This window comes from Homo sapiens, chromosome 12, assembly GCF_000001405.40.
Source record: "Homo sapiens chromosome 12, GRCh38.p14 Primary Assembly".
NCBI lineage: Eukaryota > Metazoa > Chordata > Mammalia > Primates > Hominidae > Homo > Homo sapiens.
The window spans coordinates 110,662,207-110,674,474 of record NC_000012.12 but is presented as its reverse complement, the minus strand read 5'-3'; the positions used below and the strand labels follow the sequence as shown (position 1 = coordinate 110,674,474).

Genomic DNA, 12,268 nt, shown 5'->3' with positions numbered 1-12,268 from the left:
AAATCTCATATCCTCACATTTTAAAACCAATCATGCCTTCCCAACAGTCCCCCAAAGTCTTACTTCATCATTAGCCCAAAAGTCCACAGTCCAAAGTCTCATCTGAGACAAACCAAGTCCCTTTTGCCTATGAGCCTGTAAAAATCAAAACAAGCTAGTTACTTCCCTACATGCAGGGGGGTTACAGGTATTGGGTAAATACAGCTGTTCCTAATGGGAGAAATTAACCAAAACAAAATAGTTACAGGGTCCCTGCAAGTCTGAAATCCAGTGGGGCAGTCAAATTCTAAGGCTTCAAAATGATCTCCTTTGACTCCATGTCTCACATCCAGGTCAGGCTGATGCAAGAGGTAGGTTCCCATAGTCTTGGGCAGCCCCGCCCCTGTGGCTTTGCAGGGTATAACCCACCTCCTGGCTGCTTTCATGAGCTGACATTAAGTGTCTGTGGCTTTTCCAGGTATATGGTGCAAGCTATTGGTGGATCTACCATTCTGGGGTCTGGAGGACTGTGGCCCTCTTCTCACAGCTCTACTAGGTGATACCCCAGAAGGGACTCAGTGTGGGTGCTCCCACCCCACATTTCCCTTCTGCACTGCCCTAGCAGAGGTTCTCCATGAGGGCCCCACCCCTGAAGCAAACTTTTGGCTGGGCATTCAGGCATTTCCAAACATCTGAAATCTAGGCAGAGGTTCCCAAACCTCAATTCTTGACTTCTGTGCACCTGCAGGCTCAACACCACGTGGAAGCTGCCAAAGCTTGGGGCTTCCACCCTCTGAAGCCACAGCCTGAGCTGTATGTTGGCCCCTTTCAGCCACAGCTGGAGCAGCTGGACACAGGGCACCAAGTCCCTAGGCCCATGAAACCACTTTTTCCTCCTGGGCCTCTGGGTCTGTGATGGGAGGGGCTGCTGTGAAGGTCTCTGACATGGCCTGGAGACATTTTCCCAAGGTCTTGGGGATTAACATTAGGCTCCTTGCTATTTATGGAAATTTCTGTAGCTGGCTTGAATTTCTCCCCAGAAAATGGGTTTTTCTTTTCTATCACATCATCAGGCTGCAAATTTTCCAAACTTTTATGCCTTACTTCCCTTATACAACTGAATGCCTTTAACAGCAGGCATTGAATGCTTTGCTGCTTAGAAATTTCTTCTGCCAGATACCCTAAATCATCTTTCTCAAGTTCAAAGCTCCACAAATCTCTATGGCAGGGGCAAAATGCTGCCAGCTCTTTGCTAAAACATGCCAAAAGTCACCTTTACTCCAGTTGCCAAAAAGTTCCTCATCTCCATCTGAGACCACCTCAGCCTGGACCTTATTGTCCAGATCACTATCAGCATTCTGGGCAAAGTCATTCAACAAGTTCTAGGAAGTTCCACGCTTTCCCACACTTCCCTGTCTTCTTCTGAGCCCTCCAAACTATTCCAGACTCTGCCTGATACCCAGTTCCAAAGTTGGTTCCACATTTTCAGGTATCTTTTCAGCAATGTCCCACTCTACTGGTACCAATTTACTGTATTAGTTTTCACACTGCTGATAAAGACGCACCTGAGACTGGGAAGAAAAAGAGGTTTAATTGGACTTACAATTCCACATGGCTGGGGAGGCCTCAGAATTATGGCAGGAGGCGAAAGGCACTTCTTATGTGGCGGCAGCAAGAGAAAATTAGAAGCAAAAGCAGAAACCCCTGATAAACCCATCAGATCTTGTGAGACTTGTTCACTATCATGAGAATCACATGGGAAAGATTGGCCCCCATGTTTCAGTTACCTCCCCCGGGTGCCTCCAGCAACACATGAGAATTCTGGGAGGTAATTCAAGTTGAGATTTGGGTGGGGACACAGCCAAACCAAATCATATCTAATAGGTTTGGTATCAGCCAAACCTATTAGAAAAAAAAATGCAAAGTTTCACTCACCAACCCAGTCCCTCTCTCCTCCTGGGAGTTGGGGTTGATTTTGTCAGTTTTCCCATAATCGTAGATTGAGGACCCCTTTCCCTGTGGGTGTGTGAGGTCTACAGGCCTGCCACACAGTGGTGTGGTGCTCTGTGGTGTGGGTCTTCCATGGTGTCCTGGGCAACAGACTTTGAGGTGGTTTCCGGTTTAGGGCTCTTGAAGCAGGACTGGAGCAAGCACCTGTGTGCACGTGGGAGTCTCTTGTAAAGTCAAGCAATAAGGACATTTTAAATGTTGATAGAAACCAAGGTAGCCATGGTGGCACACACCTGTAGTCCTAGCTACTTGGGAGGCTGAGGCGGGAGGATTGCTTGAGCCCAGGAGTTTGCGGCTGCACTCCAGCCTGAACAACAAAATGAGATCCCATCTCAATAAAAAGGAAATAAAATTTTGATATAAATTGGTTTAGGGCCAATCCCCTCCTTTGTCCCCAAGCCTGGCACATCAGAGAGACTCAAATATTTTTTCAAAAGATGAAAGGAACTGCCCTGTTACCCTCCTAGGAAGAATACACCCATTTACATGCCCAACAGCTGGCATACAGGAGTGCCCACTTCCCTCTGCCTCTGTCACCCTGCCAAAATGTGCGGCACGGTGTGACTTCAGGCAAGTGGTCTCGCCTCCCCAGGCCTCAGTTTGCCCTTGTGCAAAATGGAGAGACTTCACCTACCCTTCCTGCCTACTTCTTAGGAGCATTAAAAGTATCAAGCGACAGCAGGTGATGTGACCGGTGGGCTCTGAGCAAAAGGAGCCGCTGTCGCTGTTGTTGGCTGCAGAATCGGGCTTTCTCCAAGTGGTTTTGGGCCCTGAAGAAGTCGGCTTTCTCCTTGGAGTCCAGGACAAATGTGTGGCCCGGAAAGATAAAGGGAAAGACAGTACCTGGCCTACAGACCATCCTGGCTAACTCAGGCACACACCCTCTGTCCTGGTTGCCTGTGGCTGCTGTGACAAACTACTACAAACTGGGGGGCTTCAACAACAGGAACTCATTCTCACCAGTTCCAGAAACCAGAAGCCCAAAATCAAGGTGTTGGCAGGACTGGCTCCTGGACGCTTTGGGATGGGGAGATGTGTCCCAGGCCTCTTCCATCCCAGCCTCTGGTGTTGTCTGCAGTCTTTGGCTTGTGGACGTATCATTCTGACCTCTGTGACCTTCACGTGACCTTACCCTCTGTGTGTCCTTTTCTCTTTTTTTGTTTTTGAGACCGAGTCTCATTCAGTCTCCCAGGCTGGAGTGCAATGGCATGATCTCGGCTCACTGCAGCCTCTCGAGTTCAAGCGATTCTCCTGCTTCAGCCTCCGGAGTAGCTAGGATTACAGGCACCCACCACCACGCCCGGCTAATTTTTGTATTTTTAGTAGAGACAGGTTTTCAATGTGTTGGGCAGGCTGGTCTTGAACTCCTGACCTCAGGCGATCTGTCCACCCTGGCCTCTCAAAGTGCTGGGATTACAGGCATGAGCCACTGCACCTGGTCAATTTTTATATTTTTAGTAGAGACGGGGTTTTGCCATGTTGGCCATGCTAGTCTTGAACTCTTGACCTCAAGTGATCCACCCACCTCAGCCTCCCAAAGTGCTGGGATTACAGGCGTGAGCTACCGCGCCTGGCCCCTTTTCTCTTTTTGTAAGGACACCAATCACCAGATTTAGGGCCCACCCTAAATCCAGTATGATTTCATCTTATCATCTTTAGTTACATCTGCAAAGACCTACATTCCAAATAAGGTCACATTCTAAGGGTCCAGGGGGACAGGAATTGTTAGGGGGGTGTGCACAATTCCACCTACTCCACCCTCTGAGCAGGTGGCTCTCCGGTCACTGGCTGCCTGGCTTTCTGTCAGCTGTGTTTTCTAGAACATAGTCTCCAAGTCATGGAGCCCAGGGGCAGATCCTGCTTTTCCAGTTCCCCACAGTGTGTGACCTTGGACAAGGCCCCCCCTCACCAGGACCCTAAAGGATGGCCTCAACCTCAGGGTTGTTAGGAATTGAAATGAAATAGTGCATGGAAGGAAGTTAGCAGCATGCTGAGATGATATGAGGTGTGATAAAATAAGCAACCATAGTAATACACGTTGCTGCCATTGTGTCTTAGAGTTTTGGGGTGAGGGTGGTTAATATGCAAATCAAGTCCCCCAAAATAGCTCTGGGAGGGAACAGGGAAATGCAAACTGAAGGGACATCAGGCCATGGGAGTTGGGAGTTGGCTGACTTTCTTAAAAAGTACCTTTTTCTCCGATTGTCAGATAACAATGAACTAGGGACTTTCCCCCTCCCACAGATGGCGGCTTCTGAGCCTGTAAAAATAGGCATCCACAAAATGCTTTTCTCTCCTTCGCTTCTAGGTCTGTCTTTTTCACTTTCCCCTTCTCTCCCAGATGGTAGTTTTTCTGGTCTAATACCTGTAAAAGAGGTCAGCAATATGTTTACCTTGAAGGAGTAGTGCCTAAGATTTTGTTAATCCATTCATTTATTAACCATTTCTTTTTTCTTTTTTTTGAGATGGAGTCTCGCTCTGTCACCCAGGCTGGAGTGCAGGGGCGCAATCTTGGCTCACTGCAGCCTCAGCCTCCCAGGTAGCTGGGATTACAGGCATGTGCCACCATGCCTGGCTAATTTTTGTATTTTTAGTAGAGATGGGGTTTCACCCTGTTGGTCAGGCTGGTCTCGAGCTCCTGACATCAGGTGATCTGCCCGTCTCGGCCTCCCAAAGTGCTAGGATTACAGGCTTGAGCCACCGCGCCCGGCCTCTTAACCACTTCTTGAGCCTCTCCCTGTGACTGAGGAAGAGTCTCTGCCCTCCCAGCGTTCACAGCCCAATGTGGTGGGGACAGTGTCTCAGTGGTTGTTAAGACAGTGTGACGTACACCCCAACTGGGGTGAGGGAGAATTAAAGAAGGCCTCCCAGGGAAGGTAAAATCTAGGTGTAAGACCTGGAAGATAGATGGGATGGGGACAGGCCATGCGGAGTCCTGGAAGCAAGAGAGCGTGGTCCGCTCTAGAACTGCAAGTTCCATGTGGCTGGAGGCTGGCAGAGGCAGGGTGCTAGGAAGGAATAAGGCTGGCAGGGAGACCAGGGCCTGGGGAAGCCAAGAGAGCTGGGACTCGATCCTGAAGGCAGTTGTGGGCATGGAGGTCGCTGCACAGCAGGGACACAGTCAGGTTGGCATTGGAGAAGGAGGACCCTGGCTGCAGGCAGGTGGAGGGAGGGTCAGGGCAGGTTCTGGTGAGGGAGAGGGGACGATGGAGTGCCAGCCAGGTTCAGGAAGTGAAACCGATGGGGTGTGAGGGAGAAGGAGGAGCCAAGGACGATTTTCTGTTCTTGGCCTGGGCAGCCAGGTAAGTGACAGCGTGCCCTAGGGGATGTGGAAGGAGGAGTGGACTGGGAGAGAAAGGTAAGAAATCAGGTCAGTTGGGTCACAGCAAACCAATGACCCAGCAGGATCTTGAACATCAGACTGGAGTCTTTGATTTGAACGTGAACGGCACCGAGAACACAGCTGTGCTAAGGCCCCCAAAGAGAGAGTCACCGGCCCAAGGACAGGGTCAAGGCTGAGGTCTCCAGGACTCCTGGTATGGGGCAGGGACATGGTACAGGAAGCTGAGGAGGGTGGCCAGAGATAGCAGGAGAAGCAGGGGGCGAGATTGCCAAGCACAGCAGATTCAACAGCGTCAAAGAGTGTGGGACCGTCAGGCAGGTTGGAGCCACGGTCACAGGTTTTGATATGGAAAGGTGACCGCAGAGGAGCATCAGGGTACAGTGGGGACAGCAAGGATTCTTGCATGGGAGATGGAGCTGTGGGGGTGTCCCGCATCAGCAACTCCACCTGTAGACTTTTGGGGTTATAAGTGACAGAAACACAGCTCAGTGTCACTTAAGCCACAAAGCGGCTGTATCAGCTCATGTAACTTAACAGCCTGAGGGATGCAGAGGCAGGCAGTGGGCAGAGAAATGAAATATCCAAGGATGGTGATGAAGCTGGAGGAGAAGAGTTTTGGGGTTTTTTGTTTTGTTTTCTTGAGACAGTCTCACTCTGTCACCCAGGCTGGAGTGCAGTGGCATGATCTTGGCTCACTGCAACCTCTGCCTCCTAGGTTCAAGCAATTTTCATGCCTCAGCCTCCCAAGTAGCTGGGATTACAAGTGCCCACCACCACGCCTGGCTATTTTTTTGTTTGTTTTTAATAGAGATGGGGTTTCGCCATGTTGGTCAGGCTGGTCTCAAACTCTTGACCTGAAGTGATCTGCCCATCTTGGCCTCCCAAAGTGCTGGGATTGCAGATGTGAGTCACCATGCCCAGGTGAGTTTTTGTTGTTAAGGGATGATCATAGCTGGCACTTCCAGAGCTGGGGGCTGCTCTGAGCCAGGCACCGAGGCAGGTGCTCTGTACGCCACACTACTAAAATTACAAAAATTAGCCGGGCGTGGTGGCAGGATCAGTCTGTCCATGAATGCTAGGAGTCTGGAGTGCATGGTGAAGCTGCTGAGGCCCACCACATTCTCTTGATCAACCCTATCTTTGCCCTTTTCTGGAGCTTTTCTGCTTCTGGCATGACAGACTTTTGACTGAAAACCAGAAATGTTTTCTGCTCTGCTGAGTGCCCTAGATATTTTCATCCCAAATTACTAAAAGTTGCTTCTTCACCAGTTGCAAGGTTTCAGAAAGAAAAATTTCCTCTTCTGTAAAATATAAATGCGGTTTTTGCAAAGTACCTTGAGGTTCCCACACTACTGAGAAATAGGACAGGCTGCTCTTGTCTGCCAGGTAAGGTGTTTCCAAAGGAAAGTATGGGGTCAGGCATGGGCTCATGCCTGTAATCCCAGAACTTTGGGAGGCCGAGGCGGGTGGATCACTTGAGCCCAGGAGTTTGAGACCAGCCTGGGCAACATAGCAAAACCCTGCCTCTACAAAAAAATACAAAAAATTAGCTGAGCGTGATGGTATGTGCCTATAGTTCCAGCTACTCAGGAGGCTTTTGTGGGAGGATCGCTTGATCCCGGGAGGTCAAGGCTGCAGTGAACCGTGATCGCACACTACAGTCCAGCCTGGGTGACAGAGCGAGACCCTATCTCAAAAAAGGGAATTATGGCCAGGCACGGTGGCTCACGCGTGTAATCCCAGCACTTTGGGAGGCAGAGGCGGGCGGATCACCTGAGGTCAGGAGTTCGAGACCAGCTTGGCCAACATGGTGAAACCCTGTCTCTACTAAAATTACAAAACTTAGCCAGGTGTGTTGGCAGCGCCTGTAATCCAAGCTACTCGGGAGGCTGAGGCAGGAGAATCACTTGAACCCAGGAGGTGGAGGTTGCAGTGAGCCGAGATCATGCCACTGCACTCCAGCATGGGGAGCAAGAACAAGACTTTGTCTCAAAAAGAAAGGAATTATGGCCAGTGGCTGCCTGGAGAGCTTCAGTATACCCTGGCGCTGGCCCTGGCCAGCCCTGGGAGTCCAGAGATGTTTGGTCCGGCCGAGATGAGCCCAGCATGGGAGATGAGGTACCAGTGCCCTCAGCCAACAGGTGCATGATGGGCTTCTGCTCAAGGTCAGGTGTCATACAAGACTCAGGGGACACAGACCCTGCCTTCATGTGAGGTAAATGCTAGGAGGGATAAAAATATGTGGCTGCACATAACAGTTTCTAGTTAGAAACTAGGATGAGGGCTCTCGAAGGAAAAGTGGGAGGAGAGGTTATAAATGGGAGGGGAACTGATTTAGGTTTTAGGGGTGAGGGAGGGCCTCTTTGAGGAACTGACATTTTAGCTGACATTTCAAGCATAAGCAAGAGTAAGCGAAGCTCGGATTGGGGAGAAGAGTATTCCAGGTTGAGGGAACAGCCTGTGTGATGGCTCAGTGTGGAGCATCAGAGGGACAGAAGGGTGGCTGGAGTGTGGCGAGGAGGCTGTGGGGAAGGAGAGATGCCAGTTCCTGGAGGGCCATGCACTACAAGTACACATGTTAAACTAGTAGATATGGTCCCTGGGGCTCTGTTTATTTTTCCTTTCAGCTTTTTTTTCTCCCTGTGTTTCCAGTTGATGTTTTTTATTGCCCTGTCTTTAAGTTCATTGATCTTTTCTTTTCTTTTCTTTTCTTTTCTTTTTAGGCGGAGTCTCACTCTGTCGCCCAGGCTGGAGTGCAGTGGCACGATCTCGGCTCACTGCAACCTCCATCTCCTGGGTTCACGCCATTCTCCTGCCTCAGCCTCCTGAGTAGCTGGGACTACAGGCGCTGGCCACTATGCCTGGCTAATTTTTTTGTATTTTTTTTTAGTAGAGATGGGGTTTCACCATGTTAGCCAGGATGGTCTCAATCTCCTGACCTTGTGATCCGCCCGCCTCAGCCTCCCAAAGTGCTGGGATTACAGGCATGAGCCACTGTGCCCAGCCTCATTGATCTTTTCTTTGGTAATATGTTATCAGCTGTTAAGCCCATCCAGTGATTTTTCATTTCGTATATATACTTTTCAGTTCTAAAATATCCATCTGGATCTTTTTTTTTTTTTCCTTCTTTTTTTGTGAGATGGAGATTCACTCTTGTTGCCCAGGCTGGAGTGCAATGGTGCAATCTCGGCTTACCGCAACCTCCACCTCCCGGGTTCAAGTGATTCTCCTGCCTCAGCCTCCTGAGTAGCTGGGATTACAGGCATGTGCCACGATGCACAGTTAATTTTGTATTTTTAGTAGAGATGGGGTTTCTCCACATTGGTCAGGCTGGTCTTGAACTCCTGACCTCAGGTGATCTGCCCACCTCGACCTCCCAAAGTGATGGGATTACATGAGTGAGCCACCATGCCTAGCCAGCTGGATCTTTTTTGTAGATTCCATTTCTGTATTAAGATTTTTATTTGCTCCCTCATTAAGTTTATGTTTTCCTTGAAATCCTTGAATATATTTGTAATATCTGTTTTCAAGTCTTTCTTGGCCAGTTCTATTATCTCTGTACATTTTTAGTCTTTTTTTTTTTTTTGAGATGGAGTTTCACTCTTGTTGTCCAGGCTGGAGTGCAATGGCATGATCTCGGCTCACCACAACCTCTGCTTCCCAGGTTCGAGCAATTCTCTTGCCTCAGCCTCCCAAGTAGCTGGGATTACAGAATGTGCCACCACACCCAGCTAATTTTGTATTTTTAGTAGAGACGAGGTTTCTCCATGTTGGTCAGGCTGGTCTCAAACTCCTGACCTTAGGTGATCTGCCCACCTCGGCCTCCCAAAGTGCTGGGATTACAGGCATGAGCCACTGCACCCAACCATTTTGAATCTTCTATTAGCTGATTTTTTTATTAGTTGTGGGCCACATTTTTCAGCTTTATGTGTCTAGTAATTTTAATTGTATGCTAGACAGTATGCATCTATGATGTTGAGTTTATGTTGTTGTCTTCCTAATAAAGTATTGAGTTTTGTTCCAACAGGCAGTAAATTTACTTGGGGATCAGTTTGTTCATTTCAAGGCTTATTTTTAAGCTTTGTTGGGATGAGTGTAATGTGGCCCTTCCTATAAAGCTAGATTAGGTCTACTCATAAGGCATGATTTTTCTGGGATTTCTGTTGAATGCTTAGGGTGTTCAATGAGGTCTCTCTACTCTGGCTGTTGGGAACTCACATATCTCCCAACCCAGTCCTATGTAATTTCTGGTAGTTGTTCAGCTCACAGCACCCCAAGGAGTTTTTTTCCTGAAAGTTATATTTTTCCCTGCCTCATGAAATCTTGTTCCACACACACGATGTTTAGGACTCAGCCAAAGTCCATATTTTGGGGTCTCCTCCTCTGCATACCTTTCCTATTTCTGGTACATTGCCAAGCAGATTCACAAGGGGAGGGAGACTCAATAGCTTTGAACTATAGTCTTTGCCTTCACAGTCCAGAAAGTACCTCCAGGCACAAAGCCAGGGTGATTGTAGGGTTTGCCTCATTCATTTTTCTTCTCTAAGGGATCACAGTAAATTTCACATATTTTATCCAGTTTTATAATTGGTTATGGCAGGAGGGATAATCTGTTACTAGTTACTCTAGAGTGTAATAAGGCCAGAAGCAGAAATCTCATTCTTGTGTATGTTTACACTCATGCTTTTACACATTCCAAAACAATATATAATATTTTCCATATATTTAACATTTTTACTTAAGTGGTGTGACATTGTTCTTATTCTTCCATATCTTTCTTTTACAGTCAACATTTTTTAGGAGCTATCCACATTGCTAGATTCATTGTTGCTTAACAAACATTTCAGTATTTTTGAGTGTCTGTTAAGTGCAAGGCATTTTTCTAGGTGCTGGGTATACAGTTGTACTTAATACTTAAATGTAAGCCAGGCACAGTGGCATGTACCTGTAATCCCAGCTACTCGGGAAGCTGAGGCTGGAAGGTTGTTTTAGCCTAGGAGTTTAAGACCAGCCTGGGTAACATAGCAAGACCCCATCTCTAAAAAAATAATTGTTTTAATTAGCCAGACACGTTATAGTGTGCCACAGTCCAAACTACCCGGGAGGTTGAGGCAGGAGAATTGCTTGAGCACAGGAATTCAAGACTGTAGTGAGCTATGATCGCACCCCTGCATCTAGCCTGGGTGACAAGTGAGATCCTCTTTTTAAAAAAAAGAAAAGAAAATTAAATGTAAGGTCTTCCTCTAAGATATCCACTGGCCAAAAGAAACTAACAGGAAACAACCACTGAGATAGGAGGAAAACCAGGAGACTGTGGCATCCCAGAAGCCAATGAAGGAAGCATTTGAAGAAAGAAGTGATTGTTCTACTGTATTCAGTGCTGCCGAGTGGGTACACATGGGCATCACCAGTGACATACTGAGACGCAGTTAATTCATTTTAACTGCTGTATAGTGTCCCATTACATGAACAGAGAATATTCATTCCTCTATCTCCCACATGTAGATAAATTTTTTTTCTTTTTTATTCTTTTTTTTTTTTTTTTTTTTTTTTTTGAGACAGCGTCTCACTCTGTTGCCCAGGCTGGAGAACATGGCTTACTGCAGCCTCGACCTCCCAAGCTCAAGCACTCCTCCTGCCCCAGCCTCCCAAGTAGCTGGGACTACAGGTGTGCTACCATGCCTGGCTAATTTTTTTTATTTTTCTGCAGACAGGGTCTTGCCTTATTGCGCAGGCTGGTCTCAGCTCCTGGGCTCAAGCAATCCTCCCACCTCAGCCTCCCAAAGTGTGGGGATTACAGGTGTGAGCTGCCACACCTGCCCAACTAGGTGAATATTTGCAGTGAACATTTTTGAACATGTCACCAATTTGAGCACATGTGCCCAAGTTTCTCTTTGGACCCTATGTAGGGATAGAATCACTAAATCATTCAGAAAGATACACACCACTTCAACTTGACAAGATCATGCCAAATTTCTCCCCAAAATGATGGTGCTGGTGCCTGTTTCTGTCTTCAGTGTTCAAGAGACCCCATTGCTTCACGCCCTCACCGATATTTGATGTAGACTTTAAGACACTTGCCAACCTGAGGAGTGAAAAGATGTGCTATTGTTACTTCACTCTGCGTTTTTCTGAGTATTATTGGGGATAAGCATCTTGGCTATTTGAGTTTTCTCTTACATGACCTGCCTGTCAACGTCCACTGCCCAGTTTTCCATGGAGTTTTTCTTTCTCTTTTTGATTTATAAGATTTCTTTATATATTCTGGTTACTCTTTGTCTATCACATACATTGCAAATATTTATCCCAGTCTGTAGTATATCTTTTAACTTTGTAGGGTGTGTGTGGGGGGGCAGTGTGTCATAATAAAGCTTTTAGTTTTGATGCAGTCAAATCTATGCATTTTGTGTTTGTTTTTGTGTTGTTTGTTTGTGTTTTGAGACAAGGTCTCAACCTGTTGCCCAGGCTGGAGTGCAGTGGCATGATCTTGGCTCACTGCAACCCACGCCTCCCAGCTTCAAGCGATTCTGGGGCCTCAGCCTCCTGAGTAGCTGGGATTACAGGCATGCGCCACTATACCCAGCTAATTTTTGTATTTTTTGTAGAGATGGGGTCTTGCCATGTTGGCCAGGCTGGTCTCAAACTCCTGACCTCAGGCAATCTACTTGCCTTAGCCCATGGAATGAGTGCTGGGATTATAGGCATGAGCCACCATGCGCACCCTATTTTGTGGTGTTTTGTGTTATTTAAGCAATCTTTTCCTATCCTAAGCTCATGAAGTTACTGGCCTGTATTTTGTTCTAAGACTTTTTAAGTTGTTCCTTTTTAAATACACTTTACACATTCATGTAAGTGCATCTCAGATGTATTCTGTGTGGGGGGCAAGGTGGGGAATGGATTTTTTTTTCCTATTGACAAAGCCAGGTGTCCCAGCCT

The 12,268-nt window shown here is 47.5% G+C and overlaps 1 protein-coding gene and 1 long non-coding RNA gene across 19 annotated transcripts in view, besides 3 other annotated features; one reads left to right on the top strand and one right to left on the bottom strand.

Annotated features, from left to right (window-relative positions):
* The window catches only part of HVCN1 (hydrogen voltage gated channel 1), a 56,267-nt gene that overhangs the window by 30,478 nt on the left and 13,521 nt on the right, over nucleotides 1-12,268 (top strand). The gene's annotated exons all lie outside the window — the stretch shown is intronic.
* On the bottom strand, nucleotides 1,552-11,804 carry LOC124903017 (uncharacterized). Its single transcript, XR_007063460.1, has 2 exons — nucleotides 11,278-11,804; nucleotides 1,552-4,354 (listed from the first exon to the last, which is right to left on the bottom strand). It is a non-coding gene; the product is annotated as an uncharacterized LOC124903017 (long non-coding RNA).
* Nucleotides 2,040-2,189: an enhancer, noted in NCBI's record as "active region_7019". NCBI's record gives its function as "activates an Ori minimal core promoter by ATAC-STARR-seq in GM12878 lymphoblastoid cells {active_cell/tissue: GM12878}" and the evidence as "EXISTENCE:reporter gene assay evidence [ECO:0000049][PMID:35858748]".
* Nucleotides 4,164-4,303: an enhancer, noted in NCBI's record as "active region_7018". NCBI's record gives its function as "activates an Ori minimal core promoter by ATAC-STARR-seq in GM12878 lymphoblastoid cells {active_cell/tissue: GM12878}" and the evidence as "EXISTENCE:reporter gene assay evidence [ECO:0000049][PMID:35858748]".
* Nucleotides 5,354-5,453: an enhancer, noted in NCBI's record as "active region_7017". NCBI's record gives its function as "activates an Ori minimal core promoter by ATAC-STARR-seq in GM12878 lymphoblastoid cells {active_cell/tissue: GM12878}" and the evidence as "EXISTENCE:reporter gene assay evidence [ECO:0000049][PMID:35858748]".